We start from the raw sequence: 21,622 nt of genomic DNA, 5'->3' as shown, positions 1-21,622 counted from the left end.
CTGGGGGCAGCTTGGCTGGTTCAACATCTCTCACAAAGTCACAGTCAAGCTTTTCTTCCTGGGCTGCCATTGTCTCAAGGCTTGGCTGGGGCTGGAGAATCCACTGTTAAGCTCACTCACTTGGATACCGACAGAGCTCGATTCCTTGCTAGCTCTTGGCTGGAGGCTACATTTTCTTTCTTTCTTTCTTTGAGACAGAGTCTCCCTCTGTTGCCCAGGCTGGAGGGCAGTGGTGCGATCTCGGCTCACCGCAACCTCCTCCTCCCGGGTTCAAGCAATTCTCCTGCCTCAGCCTCCAGAGTAGCTGGGATGACAGGCGCCCGCCACCACGCCCAGCTAATTTTTTGTATTTTCAGTAGAGACGGGATTTCACCATGTTAGCCAGGATGGTCTTGATTTCCTGACCTCATGATCCGCCCACCTCGGCCTCCCAAAGTGCTGGGATTACATGCGTGAGCCACCGCGCCCAGCTGGAGGCTCCATTTTTTTTTTACCGTGCAGTCCTCTCCATAGAACTGTTCACAATATGGCAACTTGCTTTTCACTCCTTTCCCCTTCTCACTCCTCTTTTCCAGCAATAGATCAGAGAGAGAGAGAGAGAGAGAGAGAGAGAGAGAGAGACAAAGACACAAAGAGACAGAGAGAGCAAGAGAGCTCAACGTGGAAATTATACTCTTTCAAAGTCTAATCTTAGAAATGACTTACCATCACTTCCACATCTGCTATTGTTCAAACAGACTAACCCTGGTATAGTGCGTGTGGGAGGAGACTTCACAAGAGTGTGGGTACTCGGAGGCAGGCAGGGTCATTGAGGGTCATCTTGGAGGCTGGTCACCACTGATCCTGGTTATATACATATTTTATATATATATTATATATATTTTATATATTATATGTATTACATATATTTTGTATATATAATTTATATGTAATATAATATATATAAAATATATATAATTTATATATAATATAATATATATAAAATATATATAATTTATATATATAATATATGTATTTTTTAAGACAGAGTCTCATTCCATCACCCAGGCTGGAGTGCAGGGGCACGATCTCGGCTCATTGCAGCCTCCGCCTCCTGGGTTCAAGCGATTCTCCTTCCTTAGCCACTGAAGTAGCTGGGACAACAGGCATGTGCCACCATGCCTGGCTATTTTTTGAATCTTTAGTAGAGATGGGGTTTCACCATGTTGGCCAGGCTGGTCTCAAACTCCTGAGCTCAAGGGATCCATCCGCCTTGGCCTGCGAAAGTGCTGGGATTACCGTTGTGAGCCACTGCGCCCAGCCTGGTAATAGTTTTGTTGTGAATTCTATTTTTTTCTGATATTAATATTATTTTCTACTTTTGATTTGTGTATTTACATATATATGTTTACATGATTTTTATCTTTATATTTTTAAACTTTTAAAATGTCACTATTTGGCTGGGTGTGGTGTCTCAGGCCTGTAATCCCAGCACTTTGAGAAGCCAAGGCAGGTGGATCACTTGAGGTCAGGAGTTCGAGACCAAACTGGCCAACATGGCAAAACCCCGTCTCTACTAAAAATGCAAAAAAAAAAAAACAAAAAACAATTAGCAGGGCATCGTGGCACATGCCTGTAATCTCAGCTACTTGGGAGGCGGAGGCAGAAGAATCTCTTTAACCCAGGAAGCGGAGGTTGTGGTGAGCCAAGATCATATCACCACACTCCAGCCTGGGCAACAGAGTGAGTCTCCATCTCAAAAAAAAAAAAAAATATATATATATATATATATTTTTTTTTTTTTTAATTAAAATGCCACTCTATTTTAGCAAAACATGGGTTTTGTTCATTGAATCTGAAAGTCTTCAGTTTTCCATAGAAGAACCGAAAACATTTAAATGTACTGTCCTGATACTTGGCCTTACTTCTTATTCCTCTTATTTTCAAAAACATTGTTGAATTATATTTGTGTCTTTATTAAGATGATGTCCAAACAGGAGTTTAAAATTTCTTCTGTATAATCATGGAACATTCTCTGAACTGGCACATTGTAGACACTCAATAAGTATTTGTTGAATCAGTGATACAGATAGATGGATGGTTGGTTGAAAGAGGAATGATGCCGCTTTGCTAGGGGAGGTGAGTGTAGGACTCCCTCCCTCAAAGTAGTCTGTTAAACAGGGAAGTGGCTGCTTGGTTATCTGAACAAGTATTCACTCCATATTTTGAGCTAGACATAATCATTGAAAGAGAGCTAGAATGCCTTCCTGTTGACTTCCTGGCCTGCTGGGAATTTTTGCTTCCTTCTCCCCCAGCCATCCAATTTTTCAAGAAAAATTTTCTGTTTGCCAGCTTATTTCCCCAACTCCCCTACTCTTTTGTCTTTCCTACCCTCTAAAGAGAGTCTAGGTCTCACAGGTGATCTTTTGTAGCTCTGTGATGCCTAATAATAGAACAGAAAAGGAGATGGGGAAGAACTGACAGAAAGACTAAAGAAAGGAATTAACTAGCGAGTTTAAGTGGAGCTGCCTCAGGATGCAATGCAGGAAAAAAAAAACACACAAAAAATGGATGGGGACTACATGCTGAAGGGACTGAAGTCAAGAGGGAGAATTTGGGCTGCGAGTCAGCCAATGAGAGATTCCAAAAGGAATAGAAAGTGCTGAGAAGACAAAAGCACATGTAGCCTGATAAGGGCATGGTGACCAGGAGCTCAGGTCCCTCAGAAATGAGTGTCTAGTTCATGCCATCAGGTAAGCTACTAAGACTAGCAGAGCTGCACCCTGATATAGGAGGAATCCAGACGGATAATGGAGGAAGGAGATGATGAGTATCAGTTGCAGCCCTGGGACTGGTGCAGAAGCAGGGGTGGAGTTCCTCCTATTAACTTCCCCTATTGTAGATTTCACTGGGAAGAGATGCCTCTTGGTACAGTGGAGGAACTGCTCCTTGAATGTATTCAAGTGGCGCATTTGGCTCCTTGAAGTGGATCCAAGTGGCACATGGGATAGATGGTGGTAGAAACAGAGATGTGCATCTCAGAAGGACATGTTGTCCTTCTGCCAGTTATAGTTCTGACAGTAGATAGCCTCTAGGGCTCAGCCCCTTCAGGGATTCTTTTAGCTGCAGAGGTGCAGCTTAAACAGGTGGCCTGAAAAAGGTGGCCTTAGCTAAGGCCACCACCTCCATCCCCTCAAAGGTTGGCATGCAGTGACTGATGGAGGGCCATGTTCACCCTAAGTGAGGCAACTCCAGCAGGCACCTACAGCTTCCTGTGGAGTTGGCTAAGGCAATCAGGTCTGCATCACAACCTGACTTCTCCCTCTGCTCCATTGTTTTCCCCTTCTTTTCACAGCTGTTGGTCCCAAGGGATACCCTAGAAATATACTAAACGCTAAACATTGTCTCAGGTCTGCTGTTGGACAACTCAACCCATGGCAGTGCTCTGTAAGACTACGGAGATTTTGTGGGATTAAAACTAGTAGAGAGTATGAAAGCCTTTTTTTTTTTTTTTTTTTTTTTTTTTTTGGCAGATGCAGTATTCTGAGAAATGGATTAACATGATTTAAAATGGTGGCCAAGAAATATGATTCTTGTTGTTTCATTGGAAGGCCTGGAGGTGTAAGAGGCTAAAATATAAAACAGACTGGGAATTTGTTTCAGGAGTCTAAGAATAAAATCCACAGGCTAAAAGAGGGTTGCAGTTGGAGGGAAAAAATGTACTTGCTATTTTTCAAAAAAGAGTTGGAAAGATTTGGTGTCAACCTGGATGTGAGGATGAAGACAAGCCAGCTAGAATAAATATTGATTCCAAGATTGAGGGCAGAGGTTTCTGGGAGTGTCACTGATGGGAACAGACAAAATGGAAAAAGACTTAATGAAGAAGATAATATCCTCAAGTTTTGACATCTCTAATTTAAAATGTCAACAATCTATTTAAGAGGAAGTTTCTTTGTGTTGGGAGCCACCTTAGTTGTCCAGCCATATTAAGGGGCTGCAATACAGTCTCATGAAGGCTATAACCAGCACTATGGTATCATGCCCAGTCTAAAATGAGGCTGAGCTCTGGCCAATGTGGGGCTGCATGTGCCAGGAAGAAGGGGTGCCTTTTCTGACTGGCACAAAGATGTTGTGTGAGCTGGTAGGGGGCCTGGCCATTGTCTCAAAATCAGTGAGAGAGACAATGTGATGCCTGGTGAAATGCACAAATTTGGTTTAGATTAGAGATGGAAAGTTAGTGAAGGAGAAAAGGCTTTAGTAAGTTAGATTTCTTTAGGGTCAGAGAATAGGCAAGTCACTTAAACCTTCTGAATCTCATTTTCCTTATTTGTGTGGCAGGATGCTTTTCTTTTCTCCACTCCCTCACAGCTTCCTCGTACCAAGATATGATAACTGAATGAGATATTTGGCAAGGCAGAGAAAAGAGATGGAGATGCTTAGCCTAATTAATGTGCTACACTTATGCCAAGAAGGGATTCTATGCTTACCTAGCAGATAATTTACCCTGAAACTGGACTAGGCAGGTCACCTTTTTCTTCATTTTATTCTTGCATATGCAGGATCTAATTATCCAGACGTATCCACAGAGAGAGGAACCAGATGAAATGCGGAAAGCACGGTTCACCTTCAAGAGAAAGAAGTAGGACTCTGGGGTTTTAAGCCGAGGCATGAAATGTACCGATTAATAGCGTCATTTTGTAACCACAGGTCTCAGGAGTTTTGGGAAGGTTAGTATGAGCTTGTCAGCATTGCTTATTAATAACAGTGAGATTGCTGCTTTGCACCTGATCTCAGTCAGACCTCAGAGGCTCAGCCACTGGGGCTGGTTATGCAGCAGGAATATATCCATGCGACCAGCAGGGTGTAAGAAGTCCAGGCCAGGACGGGCGCAGTGGCTCATGCCTGTAATCCCAGCACTTTGGGAGACCAAGGTGGGTGGATCACAAAGTCAAGAGATCGAGACCATCCTGGCCAACATGGTGAAATCCCATCTCTACTAAAAATACAAAACTTAGCTGGGCCTGGGGGCACGCGCCTGTAGTCCCAGCTACTCAGGAGGCTGAGGCAGGAGAATCACTTGAACCCAGGAGGCAGAGGTTGCAAGTGAGCCAAGATTGTGCCACTGCACTCCAGCCCAGGTGAGAGAGCAAGAATCCGTCTCAAAAAAAAAAAAAAAAAAAAAAGAAAAAAGTCCAGGCCAGACTCCATCTCAGGCTCACTGGTTCCAATGTGTTCCATCCATACCTCAGTGGCTCTTGATTTAGGGAAAAAAGCACATCCTGCTATTTAATTTGCAAAAATTAAATAACTACTTGATGTGTCTTTTGTGCAGATAATACCCACAAAATATTAATTTTTGCCCTTTTTCCCTTATAATTTTAACATACTTATTTTCTTTACTTGTCTCATGTTTTCTTTCAGAGATTCTAACTCTCTTTGCTAAATGGATATAGGAATAAATACTCTTAAAATACATTTTTTATTGTATTGATGTGGAAAATGTAGAAAAGCACAAAGGGATTTTTTTAAAACTCTGCAATATCATCCACCAGTCATAATCATTATTAAGATGTTTTCACAGATATTCCCAGCTTTTATTCTATAAATAAGACTCTCATGATTCACTTATCCCTCACTTGTCTAACTATTTTATACTTTTTGACGCACTAAGATTCTAAAATGAACCATAAAAGCTGGCACATATTTATAGTAATCAGTTTTCTTATTTAAGAGGATGAGATAGATGAGTGTAAATAATCTTGCTATACACAAAATTGTTTCTGCTACTCTGAAGACAAGATGTTCTTACATCTTGGTCTTTGAGCATATATGTAATTAAGTTTTGCATAAGGTTGCAGACTTTGTCTTTAATACAAAGGAAAACAACAGGTATAGCCTTCATATAAATTATCTCATTTAATCCATACCGTGATTTTATGAGTTTGGTATTGTTACCTTCATGTTACTGATGAGGGACCTGAGCCAGGAGAGGCAAAATATCTCAGTCAAAGTAGCCCAGCTGCTAAATGATTCTGCCTTTGAAAAATCGCCTGCCATTGACACCTTTGTCACCGTCACCTCCATCTCTGTCTGAGCCACCATGATCTTTTTTGACCTATTGCAAAATCTATTTAACTGCTACCTCTACCTTGGCCCCTGTATAGTGACCAAAGTGAGCCTTTCAAAAACATAAAGCAGATCATGTCATTCCTCTGCTTAAACCTTTCACTGGCATATCCCTCAGGGTAAAATCCAGAGCATTAGTAGGGCTTCTAAGATTCTATATAATCTATTCCCCACTCCCTCACTTTCCCAATCACTCTGGTCTCACCTCTCCCTCTTACTTCCTGAACTCAGTGCTGCCATTCTCCACACAGCTTGACATGTTCCTACCTCAGGGCCTTTACACCTGCTCTGTCTCCTTTGCCAGAAATCTATCACTTTATTCCCATCTCTGATTAAATGTCACTGCTCCTTCAAACCCTTGCCTGGCTACGCTATATAAAATAGCCCCTTTCCCAACTTTCTTTATCAATTACCCCGATTCATTGTTTTTCCAGTGGTATTTGTTACCACCTGGCTTTTATTTGTTTATTTCTTCATTTGTTTATTTTCTGTCTTCTCCTGCAAGAAGGTTACTATATGAGAGTGGGGACTTTGTTTTATTTGTTGTATTTCCAGGCCCAAAACAGAGCCTGGGCCCACTAAGGAAAATTTGTTAATGAATGACGGAAAGGAAGGAGCCAGATTTCCAGTTCACATCTTCACCCTAAGCCCAGGCTATTTCCTCTATGCATTCTGAATACCAGAGCCACCTGAAGGAAGGAACATACAGCGAAACACCGGTGATACTGTAATCCTTCCTTGCAACCCTCTTTGCTTGCCTTGCTGAGATTAGGAAGATTGGGATGAGTCAAAGCCAGAGTCCTTCCTCGGAAGATCACTCTAGCATTTGCTCTTCTCCACTGTCAGGAAAGAAGAGAAAGCATAGAGAAAATGGTACCTATAACAGTGAATTCACAAGAAAGAGGACACGAGACCATTTGATTGTACATAAGTAACCTGGACTTTGGATGAGAGGACCCTGGCTCTGCTGTGTGACTTGGAAAAACTTTTTAAAAACCTTTCTGAGGTTGTTTTTATCATTTTTAAAATGAAATTAATGATCCTTCCTTTGGTCATGAAAGAGTCAGGTTCTCTAAAAAGCCAAAGGACCTGTTTCCTCACAAAGTGTCAGAGAGATTTTTGAAAGAGCTAGATACTGCATCTCTGGGATTAAAGTGTCAGAGAGATTTTTGAAAGAGCTAGATACTGTATCTCTGGGATTAAAGTGACAAAGCATGGCCTTTAAGAGATCAGAAGTAAAAGATATTTTAGCACAGTGGATTGTCAGTCTGCATTAGCAGGTGGTGGAAGAGCTTTCGGCAGACATGCCCCTATAACTTCAGTTAGTGGCAGCACCATTGGCACAGGTACACCCCCAGGGAGCTGGCCCTGGTAACAAGGTGGCAGCAAGGGGAATTCACATTTAGAGGCAATGAAGGTAGCTGTCGCCACCATCATAAACTTCTCCTCCTACTCCTCCCTTACTCTTCCTCATCATTCTCCTTTCTCCCTCTTCTCCCCTCCTCCTCTCCCTTTTTCATCCTCCTCATCCTTCTTCATCTAGCTGTGATACTTTTTGTCCTGGATTTAGGTTGTACTGGTGAGGATAGAGACAGCAAATCAATAATAATATTTTAAATAAAGTTTTAAGCACATATACAACAAACGCTGCATTTGATACATACATTGTCTCATTTCATCATTATTTAATCTCCCTTAAGGTAGGTATAGTAACTCTGCAATGGAGTTGAGAGAAATGAGGCATAGGAGGGAGAATGACTTGCTTAAGGTCTCACAATTCATAAGTGATGGCAGGAGGATTTGAACTTCTCTTGGAGGTTCAAATTTGAACCTGGAGTCTCTTTGACTCCAGGACACTTGTTCTAAAGTCACTCAGATTCAAAAGGTAGAATCAGATGCCTTAGTGATTGGATGTGTCAGGGACAGGGGACTGTGAGGAGGAGAAGGGGTCTAAAATACTTCCTAGTTTTCTGATTTGGGTGGCCTGTTGAAATGTTAATGGTGCTTTACCCAGGGTAGGGACACTCTGACTCCTAGAAATAGTTCCAGCCTCTAATTAGTGTCGAGATCATTTTTTAGGTTAAAAATGAGCTTTGGGCTAGAGTTACAGGAATTCTTATTTCAATCTTTCACTTGGTTTTGCCTATAATAGACTGGCTAAACTGTAAGAGGCCTCCTCTTAATTTTAAACTGTCTTGAACTCAAAATAGGCAAAGTATTAAGCTAATGAAAGAGCAGTGTTCTTGTTACCTTTATGTTCATGCCCCCAGAGTCTTTTTCCCAATGGGCACCAGGTATCATGTTATGGCCGTGAAAGCTTTCAGGCAGTGGTTACAGAAAGTCTTGAAAAGTAGAAAAGTCAAGCATGCTGGAGGAGCCCTGGCCTATTAAAGAGAGAGAGAGGTCTGGTTCTGATTACTGATAATTATAGATAAGCTGGAGCCGACAGCCATTTTCTGACCACAAACTCAAATCAATCAATTAAAAACTGCATGTAGCTGCACCACGGCTAATCAGTCCCAGGCACTTCAGGATGATCCATTAAGTCCTACCTCTACCGTGTCATGGTTGCTGTGTTCCATCTGCTACTCTGACAGTGGATCAAATGCACACCTCATTTTATACTTCTGGCTAATCAAGAATGCTGTTCACAGTGTTAGTCTTCCTTCTACTTCCTGAAATTGCCAGCCTTGTACAAGAAGCTTGATGATTGAGTCATTATTTCCCTTTCTGGACCCAGACATGCAATACTAAGAAAAATAATTACTAGCAAGAAGAAGCAATCATCTTTGAAATATTTTGCTCATTCTGTTGCTCTCCCAGGAAAACAGATGGTGGGGGCTTCTGGAGGTGGGTGGTTGCAACACTGAGATACAGAAGCTATTCTGTAGAAGCAGCAGTTGAATGTGTGTTGGCTAAGTAGTCTCCGAAAGATATTTGGGGAAATGTGATCTACTTTCAAACTGAGATATGTGGAAGAGGGATAGTGACTTTTGGTTCCTCCATATGTGTGGATTCTCAAGGAAGCAGATTTCGACACAATCTAATGAAGAAATCTTTTCTTCTGAGGCTGCAAACTGGTAGCTCATGAGCTAAAGCCTGCTAACAGATGTGGCTTGTTGGTCTCACAGAGTGTTTAAAACAAATTTTGAATTAGTTACTAACATTTAAAAGGCAAGAAATTGAACATTTTTTATTTCTGACTTTATTTATTTATTTATTTATTTTGAAAAACTGGAAGATCCAGTGAAACTGAGCTCAGACTTCCTCCAGCCTGCAGGCTGTTTCCTTTGGACAGCACATGTGCTTTCCAGCTCACCACATTCCCTCCAACTTTCTTTGGAGGACCTGCATCAGCCTCCTTCACTCATTTATGTTACTTTCTGGCTCTTCTAGCTTTTCTGAGTTTGTAGCTCTTACTAAATACTGAAGCACCTTATGTAGTTAGTGATGAGCTTTTCAAGTGTTTAGACAGGCTGGAAGAACATTTGCTGGACAAAGAGTGGACAGTATATCCTTGGACTCCAGAAACTCGGCCCCTTCTGAACTCCAATCTTTAGAGGACCCTTCTTGGACTTTCCTCCAGCTGTGCCCCACCCTTGGGAAGAGTAGGCCATGGGGTCAAAGGGACAAGTCCTTTCAGAATCTATTCACTTTTGACATTCACTGCTCACTCCAGACACTTATCTTTCAGATTCTCCCCATGTTTGTCTTGCTGAAGATGGACTGTGCTGCTGGTGTATACGTACCCCTAAGTGTGATGAGTGGGCAAGAGGAGACAGTTAGGTAGGCAAGATATATTTGGTGCTTAGATATGTGGGTTGTTGAGTCCATAGACATGCATGGGAGACCCTTTGTGATACAGGACAGAATTCAGGGCAGGAAAAGAAGGTGGGCTGGGGGCCTCTGTTAGAACCCTGGGAAGGGCCTTTAACTCCTTTCCAGGGCTTATCCTGAGCTCATATTTTTAAATACTATGTCTCTAATATTCTCTTATTTCCAGTAATGGCACAAATCCTGTGCTTTGCAAAACATTAAGTAGAGGGTGGGTGGACTCAAGAGAAACAGGTACACGCCACTCTAAAATATGATAGACTATAAAGAAAGGCCAAAACAACACATAGATAACCATATGTCAAAAGAGTGCTTGGGGAGAACACTGGATTTCAGCAAAGAAGTGATAAAGACCCTCTGATGCACAAAGACTCAGGATGATAGCACAGAGAGGGAAGAAAAGCACCCAGCTAGAATTGGCTAGGAGTCAGGAGGGGCTCCCCATTGCAAGGAAAATATAAGCAGGATATCTCCAGCAGTTCACATTCCCACCATGGACTCCTGCAATCCTAGCCACAGGAGAGCCCCACAGCCCTTGCGGGACCTGAGCTCAGTATAGGGAGCTGCTTGGAGTTCACATGATTGCAGTGTTCCAGAGAGGGAATTCATTCTGGGTTCTCCTCCCTGCCCCCTGGGCAGCACCATTCTGTCACCATTTTGAGAATGGAGTAACCACCAGAGTGCATCCTGCCCTAAGGCCCAATAGCTCCTGCATCTCCATATCTCTTGTGCGCCACTGACGTGCTGTCACATCCATCTAGAGGGCTGTGATGTCACAACATAGGCTGAACCCAGCTGTGCAGCCATGACCTTGTTTACTTGAGTGCACACAACACATTATTTCCTGAAGCACAGGCAGTTCAGCTTAGCAAGAATGCTGCCCCAGGACAGAGGGAGCCAACAGGCATGCTCCCCAGGGCCTGTGGACTACAGCTGCCACCACTAGTGACCTCATTTGCTCTAGCAGCAGAGCTAGCACCCTCCTAGGAGCCAAAGAATTGGCCTTCCCAGGCCCACTGACGCTGCTGTCAGTGACGTTTTTTCATCCAGAACAAAGCTTCTGCATGTCTGCACATGCCCCTAAGTGGCCTGAAGACAGCCTTGCCCAGGATCTGCTGCTGTTGCTGGTGACCCCTCCCCTCCAGTGGTGAAGCAGCCATGCATGGGCATGCTCTGAGGGGCCCAAGGACTGGCCCACCCAGTGCTCTGATTCCCAGCAAAGTCTCACCCCCAACCTCCACAATCAACCACACCCTAGGCCGTTGAGGCAGTCACAGACACCACTGACATTGATTATAGCTGAAGAAACCATAAGGAGGCCATACTACTGAATCAATCAAGAACCAAAGCCAAAGCATCCCACCCAACCAACACTATAGGACATGCCAACAGAAATAGCTTTCATATCTTTTGCTATGAAAGCTTCTCCATAAAATTGGAAGAAGCTACTGATCCACCAGATATACAGATATTGACATATAGACACAAGAAATATGAAAAAACAAGGAAACACAACACCTTCAAAGGAACATATGAATTCTCCAGTGACAGATCCCAAAGCAAAGGAAATCTATGAAATGCCAGAAAAGGAATTTAAAATAATGTTCTTAAGGAAACTGAATAAGATACAAGAGAACAGAGATAGTCAATTTAATGAAATCAGAAAAACAATTCATGATTTGAATGAGAAATTCCACAAAGAGGTAAATATCATTAAAAAACAACCAAACAGAACTCTTGTAACTAAATAATTCAATGAGTAAAATAAAAATACAATTAAGAGCTTCAACAACAGACTAGATCAAGCAGAAGAAACAGTGTCTGAACCTGAAGACATGTCTTTTAAGATAGCCCAGTCAGATGGAAAAAAAAAAAGAAGTAGGGGGAGAGGGGAAAGAAAAAGAATGAAGAAAGCCTATGGTACATATAGAACACTGTTAACAACACTAAGCAAATGAATATTCACGTTATGGGAATTTCAGAAGGAGAAGAGATAAGAAAAGGCACAGGAAACATATTTGAAACTGATAAATTTAGCAAAATCGCAGGATGCAAAATCAGTACAAAAAATCAGTAGTATTTCTATACACCAATACAAACTAGTTGAAAAATAAGGAAAGCAACTCCAATTACAATAGCTACAAAAATACCTAGAAATAAATTTAACCAAAAAGGTGAACGATATCTACTATGAAAACTAGAAAACATTGATGAAAAAAATTGAAGAGGATACAAACAAATGAAAAGACATCCCATGTTCATGAATTGTTAAAATGACCATACGACTCAAAGAGATGTATATATTCAATGCAATCCCTATCAAAATACCAATTACGTTCTTCACAGAAATAGAAAAAGCAATTGTAAAATTTGTATGGAGCTACAAAACACCCTGAGTAGCCAAAGCAATCCTGAGCAAAAAGAACAAAACCGAAGGCATTACACTACTAACTTCAGAATATACTATAAAGCTATAGTAATCAAGACCGCAAGATATTGGTATAAAAACAGACACATAGACCAACGGAACAGAATAGAGACATCAGAAATAAATCCATGTATTTATAGCCAACCAAGTTTTGACAAAGGTGCCACAAACACATACTGGGGGAAAGGACAACCTCTGCAGTAAATGGTGCTGAGAAAATTGGATATCCATATGCAGAAAAATAAAACTAGATGCCTATCTCCCACCATATATAAAAATCAACTCAAAATGGATTAAATATTTAAACATAAGATCTGAAGCTATAAAACTACTAGAAGAAAACAGGGGAAATGCTCTAGGCCATTGGTATAGGCAAAGATTTTATGGGTAAGACTTCAAAAGCATAGATAACAAGTGGGATTATATCAGACTAAAAAGCTTCTGCACAGTAAACAATCAACAGAGTAAAGAGACAACCTGTAGAATGGGAGGAAATATTTGCAAACTATTAATATTGCAAACTATTAATCCAACATGGAATCAGTATCCAGAATGCACAAGGAACTCAACAGCAAAATAAATAAATAAATAAATAAATAATCTGATTAAAAAATGGGCAAAGGATCTGAATAGATATTTCACAAAAGAAGACACACAAATGGCTATTCAGATCTTGTCCATTTTTATGACAGAGATGATTAGAATATCTCTGATCATCAGGGAAACGCAAATCAAAAACACAATGAAGTGTTATCTCGCCCCAGTTAGAATGGCTATAATTAAAAAGATAAAAAATAGGCCAGGCGTGGTGACTCACGCCTGTAATCCCAGCACTTTGGGAGGCCAAGGCGGGCGGATCATGAGGTCAGGAGATAGAGACCATCCTGGCTAACACAGTGAAACCCCGTCTTTACTAAAAATACAAAGAAAAAATTAGCCGGGCGTGGTGGCGGGTGCCTGTAGTCCCAGCTACTCCGGAGGCTGAGGCAGGAGAATGGCATGAACCTGGGAGGCGGAGCTTGCAGTGAGCTGAGATTGCGCCACTGCACTCCAGCCTGGGCGACAGAGAGAGACTCCGTCTCAAAAAACAAAACCAAAAACAAAACAAAAAGACAAAAAATAACAAATGCTGGCAAGGATGTGGAGAAAAGGGAACTTTTATGCCTTTTTTTGGGAATATAAATTAGTACAGCCATTATGAAAAACAGTGTGGCGTTTCCTCAAAAAACTAAAAATAGAGCTATCTTATCCAGAAATCTCACTACTGGATATTTATCAAAAAGAAAAAAATTATATATTGAAGAGATAGCTGCACCTTTCTGTTTACTGCAGCACTATTCACAATAACCTAGTTGTGAAATCGGCTGAATGCCTATCAACAGATGAATGAATAAAGAAAAAAATGTGGCACATATGCACAATAGAATCCTATTCGGCCTTAAAAAAAAAGAATGAAATCCTGTCATTCACGGTAACATCAATAAGCCTTATGTTACGTGAAATAAGTCAGGTACAGAAAGATAAATACCACATGTTCTCACTTCTAGGAGGTAGCTGAAAATTGAGCTCATATAAGTAGAAAGTAAAATTGTGGTTACTAGAGGCTACAAAGGGTAGAGGGTAGGGAAGGATAGTGAAAGGTTGGTTACCAAATACAAAATTACAACTAGATAAGAAGAATAAGTTCTAGTATTCTATAGTACTGTAGGGTGAATACAGTTAACAATAATTTATTGCTATTTTCAAATAGCTTGAAGAGAGGATTTTGACTCTTCTCAGCACAAAGAAATGAGGAACGTTTGAAGTGATAGATTTGCGAATTACCCTGATTTGACCATTACACATTGAATACATGTTCAAAATATCACTATGTACCCCATAAATGTGTACAATTATTATGTGGAAATTAAAAATGAAAAGAAAGCAAAAGAAAAAAGTGATAATAAATGTGTTGATGGATTTGGTCCTCTAAATTGAATTACTGTCAGAAATACAGATTGGAAAAAAAAGGATAGGTTTCACAGAGACAGGAAGTAGATTAGTGGTTGACTGGGGCTGGGGGGTGGAGAGGTTGAAAGAGGGGGAGGGATGGGGGAAAGGGGAATGACTACTAATGGGTACAGGTTTTTTTTGCGGGGAGAGTATGCTGAAAATGTTCTAAAATTAGATTGTGGTGATGGTTGCACAACTCTATAAATATATTAAGTCACCACACTGTACACTTTAAGTGGGTGAATTTTATAGTGTGTGAATTATATCTCAATGAAGCTGTTTTTAAAACATTTTAAAAAATGATAGCTTTTCTTGCCAAGAAGAAACAAAAAAACAACAAATCTTAGAGCACCTCCAGGACACTTTTGTTAATTCTTCTCCTAGTTATAAAATATTCAGTATTAGAATGTGATACTTCCCTGGTTATACTGGAACCAAATGGTCTTAAAACACAGTATGGTATTCTATCTCTTTTGAGCATCATTGCTCATTTCTCATGGCTTTTATCTATTTTCTCTGATCCTGGATACCTAGGCTGTGCCTATTTTCATGGCTGGTCTCATTCCTTTTGCTGAGGTCTTCACTTTGACAACCAAGAACTTTTTCTTTTAGGATTAGAAGAACCAGTCACTAAAACAGCTTCAGGTTTCCATGGTTTCCATTGCTTCTTGTCTTTAAAGAAGTACCCAGTCCTGCGACTCCCAGTAGCTTGCCAGATATATACAGATTTTTCATCTAAAGCCCCTCACACTGTTGCAATGTCACCATAGTGCATGACTCCTCAATGAAAAAATTAAATTTTGGTGACCTTGGCATCATCTCTCAAGTTATGATAAGAAGCACATTATCCTTCAAGTTAAAAAACCAACCAAACAAAAAACTGATAATTGGGCCAAAAGATTTGATTAAATTTGTTTTCATCAAATTTAAATTCAAGCAAATTGGCTGAATGAATTGGCCAGTTATTAATTGAGTCAAATCCTGTCAAACTGGTTGGGCTTATAAACACAGCCGTGGGCTATCAAGGTTACACCACTGCTTACAACTGCCCAAAAGGAGAGCTATGCTCCCACTGTTTCAAAAATGTCCCATTTCAACACTTTTCCTTTATCTCTAATCATTTGGCTGTGCTGAAAGTCACCACACCATCAAGCAAACAATACTTGGCCACAAATCACAGAGTTGTAGAAATATTAATAGCAAATGGACTCTCATCACTTTCCATAATTAGAGTAATAGAAAACAGACATCTAAATGTCATCTCTTTGATTGTCAACTTATGCTTGTCATCTACTTTGACCTTAGGAAGAAAATATCATCCTGCTTATGGTGGTATTGGCTTGTTTATTTGTTGAAAGGACTGAAATTTGTTATGAACACACAATTTGGATTCATCATTTACTCCAAGCCACTCTTAAAAGAGACTTTCTAATCCACTCAACATTTCGAAAAAAAGTATGATAACTTGCTATCATTGTCCTTGTCCGTTATCATTCCAAAAGATGATATATTTGGAAAGTATGTTAGATATCACTCCAAGTATCTTTGCCTTGTTTTGCAGAAGCATAGAATTACTGTACAAATTATAGAAAGTTAGTACTTTCATATCCTTTAATGCATCAATTTTCAACTTGGTCTGCACCTTGGAATGATCTGGGAAGTTTTTTAGAAATGCTAATCTTGGCTGGGCACGGTGGCTCACGCCTGTAATCCCAGCACTTTGGGAGGGCAAGGCAGATGGATCACGAGGTCAGGGGTTCGAGACCAGCCTGACCAACATGATGAAACCCCGTCTCTACTAAAAATACAAAAATTAGCTGGGACTGGTGGCACGTGCCTGTAATCCCAGCTACTCAGGAGGCTGAGGCAGGAGAATTGTTTGAACCTGGGAGGCGGAGGTTGCAGTGAGCCGAGATTGCACCACTGCACTCCAGCCTGGGTGAGAGAGGGAGACTCGTCTCAAAAAAAGAAAAAAAAAAAAAGCTAGTCTCTGGGTTTCCAATCCAGAAATGTGATTTTATTGCTCTGAGTGTGGCGTGGGCATTAGAAGTTTTAAAAGCTCCCCAGGTGATTCTAATCTTTAGCAATCTTTGGGAACCACTGATCTAGTATAGCCCAGTGCTTCTTAAATCTTAATGTGCATATGGATCACCTGGAGGGCTTGTTAAAACATAGATTGCTGGTCTGCATTCCTAGAGATTCTGACTCTCTAGATCTGAGGTAAGACTCATGAATTTGCTTTTCATACCAGTGTTCTTGTGATGGTGATGGTGCTCACATTTTCATTAGCACTGGGGTGGCCCAACAGTTTTCTCTCTCCTGCATATGGAGCAGGCAAAGAACATTGAAGAGACGTGAACGGTCAAATGTACTCAACTGAATCTTTTAAAAGACAAGCCAAAGTATATAAAGGAATGAGTCAGAAGCTTTCGATTTTATTGCAAGGGGTGCCAAACCAGTAAACAAACCCTTGCCAAGCCAGTAAACAAACTGCTGAAATCCTATGGGATTATTTGAATTACTGGAATGTCAACACAAAGCTTAATTTATGTAGGAAGAAAACTGGGAATGAGCAAAAACAGAAAATCTGATCACATAGACTCTAAATCTTCACATTGGATTTGCAATCCAGTGATAACTGGAAACAGAGGAAGGAAATAAGGACAGAATTATGAGGGATGTTAAAAGAAAGAAATTTTTGGCCGGGTGCGGTGGCTCACGCCTGTAATCCCAGCACTTTGGGAGGCTGAGGTGGGCAGATCACAAGGTCAGGAGATCAAGACCATCCTGGCTAACATGATGAAACCCCGTCTCTACTTAAAAAAAAAAAAAAAAAAAAAAATACAAAAAATTAGCCGGGCGTGGTGGTGGGTGCCTGTAGTCCCAGCTACTCGGGAGGCTGAGGCAGGAGAATGGCGTGAACCCGGGAGGCAGAGCTTGCAGTGAGCCGAGATCGCGCCACTGCACTCCAGCCTGGGCGACAGAGAGAGACTCTGTCTGTCTCAAAAAAAAAAAAAAAAAAAAAAAAAAGAAAGAAAGAAATTTTTGTTATATAACCACATTTGAATTTTATTCTAGGTCTATCCACATTTGGGCATTGGAGCTAGAAAGACTTCAGTTTGATTTTTGTTCTGAAATTATTTATTTTGTGACCTGATGGGGTGACCAACCATCTTAGTTTGTCTAAGGCGTTCCCAGACACTGAAAATCCTGCATCCTGGAAAATCCCTCAGTTCCTTGCAAGCTGAGATGGCTGGTTCACCCTAAAATAGGCAAGTAATTTAACACCCGGGTAGCTCATTCTCTTCACCTATATAATGTAGACAATGACACCTCGAAGAACTGTTAAGAGGATTAAAAACAACAAAGTATCAAGCACCCAGCACATACCTGGCTGTAGGAGAAACTGAAAAATACTGGCTTCAAATAATAACTTTTTCCTGGCTATGAAATTTTGGAATGGGAGGCTCCTTAAACCAAAAACTATGCCGACACTTTACAACGTACCTAATTTGGTCTGATGGACTATTTGATGATAAGGAAGAACAGTTTTCTACACCACAGAAGAGTTCCAAACATTTGCTAGTAAATTCTTAAAGTCTTCTGGTGATTGAATAAGGTGTGCTATGAAACAAAAATTTAAGTTTTCAGGCATTCTCTGATAAACCTATGCACACATCTGCCTCCTTGAAGAAATCTCACTAAGAGAATTCAGACTTCAGGCAGATATCTTGGGCATGCTTGTTCACATTATAAGGATCCTTTCTTTCATCTATCAAGTTTCCTAGTAGCTTCTTTCTGCAGCAATGGAAATGCTCTATACCTGTGCTGTCCGATATCATAGCCACTAGCCACATGCAGCTCTTCAGCCTTTGAATGTAGTTACGGAAACTAGGGATAAGATTTTCAATTTTACTTAATTTTAGTAAATTTAAATTTAGATTGCCTTCCTGTAGCCTAGTGGCTGTATTGGAGGGAGAGGAGCTCTAGTATATTTGTTAGCTGTTAGAATTGATGATTAATAGAGAAGCTAAGACAAATGGAGGAGGAAACACTGATAATGATATCTTAATTAGAACAGAGGATGGAGCTATTTCCAAAATTATTTAATTCAGTAGACAAGTAAGGATTTATTGAACAGAAGGACAGTTAGTGAACAACTTTTCAGAATGGCTGTCATGTCACCCAGGAGTTTGGGAAAGGACATCGAGGAGAGGCTGGAAGTCATGGAGTCTTGAATTTCACTTGTAGTTCTGGCCTGCCCTAACCTGCTGAGTATCCCTGCATAAGTCACTTACCTGCACTGGGCCATTTTTCTCTAAGATCCTTTAAAACCCCCAATATCTTTTGAAAGGAGAGTACTTGCACATTGTAACTATTTTTTTTCCCCTGGTAGGCATATCTAAAAGTCATTCTGATTTTAGCATTTTTGAACTAGTAGGGAAGGAGAGAAATGTATTGTGAGAAAAAAAAAAAACAACTTTTCTCTGGAGAGAATCTGAGTTAACGTAATTCAAATTCATAGATACTCAGTCTTTACTTACTATGAACACAGTCCCCTACAAGATGGATAAAATAAATTCTCTGTTCTTTTACCACTTACAGCCTGGTTGAGGAGGCAGGTAGGACAACTCAATAGGATCCAAGGAAGAATGAAATAAATGTGCAATGTGCATACAATTTGGGGTGAGGCCACAGAGGGAAGGTCTTTTTTTCACAGGGATATGCACAGGGTGGGTGGCGTTTGGCCACTTGGGCCTTGCAAGAGAGACTGATGCCTTCAACAGGGACAGAAGACGAGGAATCAGGTTTGACTAAACCGTTTGGGGTTTAAGGACCCAGAGTATTTGGGCAATGGTATAGTCACTTTTATTTTTTATCTTGCTGAAACAACTCACATTTGGTATTACTAAAGAATGAATAGAGTCCTAACTTTTGTTCATTATTTACGGCATCTCTTCCTTTCCTTTTGATAATTTTAGCACATTTCTGATGATGATTATAAACTTCCATTGTCTTCCCAAATGTACCTCTTTTAGAAGGGCATTCTAGGTGAGGGAGCATTGTGAGAAAATACAGGGAGATATGAGTGATGATTTCTACCAGGTACTCATTATGATGCAATCACTCAACAAAACAATTTTGAGGACCTGTGGTGTAGGCTATAATAGGATTCTACCTGCATTTGATCTTGCAACCCTAAGTCAGCTGCTAATTAGACTGCATATTTATCTTTTTCTCCTCCGAAGTGCCTATTAACACTCAGCTGCCCACACACAAAAAAGCCTATGCAAACAGCTTCTACCAAGGCTGCTGTCCCTTCTGGTGGCTTTCCAGACCTCCCTCACACAATTTTCTTAATTATATCTTCCACCATCCCCAGCTGTACCCCTGGAGCAGCTGCCACTAATCCTAAATAAATATTTCCTGTTCTCCTTAGAAACAATTAAACTTAGCCTTTACCAAACCTTTGGCATCTGAGGCTCACACTGGTGGTGGTGCAGCAGTTGCTTTTTGTCCTTGTAAACTGAGCAGAGACTAATTCTATTCTTAAAGTCCTTTTTCTTGAAACAGAATCGCCTCTGCTGATGTGTCTCTAACCTTTTGGTTATGCATACTGAATTGATAGCTTAGAAAATCGCTCACAGCCGCTTTCTGCCCTCCAGGCAACATAGAAACATAGAAAGAGGTTGTGGGCCTGGGGCTGATTGAGGCTCAAGCAGAGCCTGACTTTTCTCCGCAGCAGTGGATGCTGATGGTCGGAAGCATTGGTTCCCAAACTTGGCTGCCTTTGGGAGTAACCTAGAGAGTTTTAAAAATGCTGATGCTTGGGCCCACTCCAAGAAATCTCATTTAATTGCTCACGGAGGTGACCATGGGCATTGGGATAGTTAAAAAGCTTCCCAGGTGACTGGTCTAAATGAACTCCCTTCACACACTTCCTGGCTCTCTGTCTAGGTCCATTTTTACCCTGTTTTGGTTCCCTCTGATTGTCAGTAAGGCCAAGGCAGAAGAGATTGGTATTCAGACCTTCTTTGTCAGCCTAGATCTGCTTTTAACTGCAGGTCTAGCCCAGGGAAGAGAATATCTAGCTGGTATATTCCCTCTTCCCCCGAGCCGGACCTCTACTTTCCTTTGCTTAACCACTCTCCAATTAGCACTTCCTAAGAATTTTCCCAAGAAACACATTTAGTTCAAAGGGACTCCCATGATGGTAGAACAGTCAACATTTCCATAGTTCCAAATGCAGTTGCCAGTATTTGACCCTGGGGAAGTCTTTAGGAGAGGGTGCTCTTTGGCAGGCAGCATTATGTCTGTGCAGGCCGTGCTGTAGCTCAGCACGGCCTGCAGAACTAATATGCCTTCATGTGGCCCATCTGAGCTTTTCTCTGCAGTCTTTCAATCCCTCTTCTGAGGCCCCACTTGCTGTGTGTTGAGACTAACTTTTAGGGATGCCTTTTCTTTGTCCGTTATCAATATGAAAACAGCAGATCCAGTGAGAGATGTAAGTTTGTCCTGTGGCTAAGCACTGAGAGCCTGGCTTCAGGTAGTCCTGGGCAGTCTCTGTTCCACCACTTCTTAGAGGCTGCCAAGCCAGCCTTTGGAAAGTCTCCTAGAAGAGTGAGAAATCAAATCGTTGCAGAGTGGCAATTCCCTGAAAGGCAGCTCATCCATCATTTTGACTTCATTCCATTTACAATAAGCACATTCAATTTTCCCTTTAATTAAGAACCTGAAAAGTACACCATCAGGCAGAAATACAGCCCAATGTGAGTTCTGGGTAAAATCTACGTGTCCTTGACAACAACAGCAATCTGAGTGTTTAGTTTTTCCTAGTGTTCCTGTGTGTAGAGTAAAGCAATAGTTTCAGGAACCACAGGTGGTAACTGTTGAACCTAATGGTTCTCCAACTCTCCTGGAGTGTGAGCTATCAGTCAGTCAACAGCATTTATTGAGCCTACACTCATTACTGAGCTGCAGAAAGCTTCAGAGTAAGTCAATAACATGTGCATTAAGGTTCACCATGATTCCCTTAAAGCTAATGTGAGTGGATGTGTGGGTGTGTATTCTCCCTTAAACATGTATGAGGTGATCCTGTAAACTTCATTCATTCTCTAATTCAGCTAACAGCTATTGAGCTCCTACTAATGCAGTTTACTGCTAGATTTTGAAAGAGTTGCAGAAATAAGACAGACGTTGTACCCACAGACCTTATGCTATAGCAAAACAAGGGAAAGGGAAGAAAAGGAAAGTTTAATGAAA

The sequence above is a fragment of the Homo sapiens genome, chromosome 1 (genome assembly GCF_000001405.40).
Source record: "Homo sapiens chromosome 1, GRCh38.p14 Primary Assembly".
In the NCBI taxonomy this organism is placed as follows: domain Eukaryota; kingdom Metazoa; phylum Chordata; class Mammalia; order Primates; family Hominidae; genus Homo; species Homo sapiens.
This window is presented reverse-complemented; position numbering follows the sequence as displayed.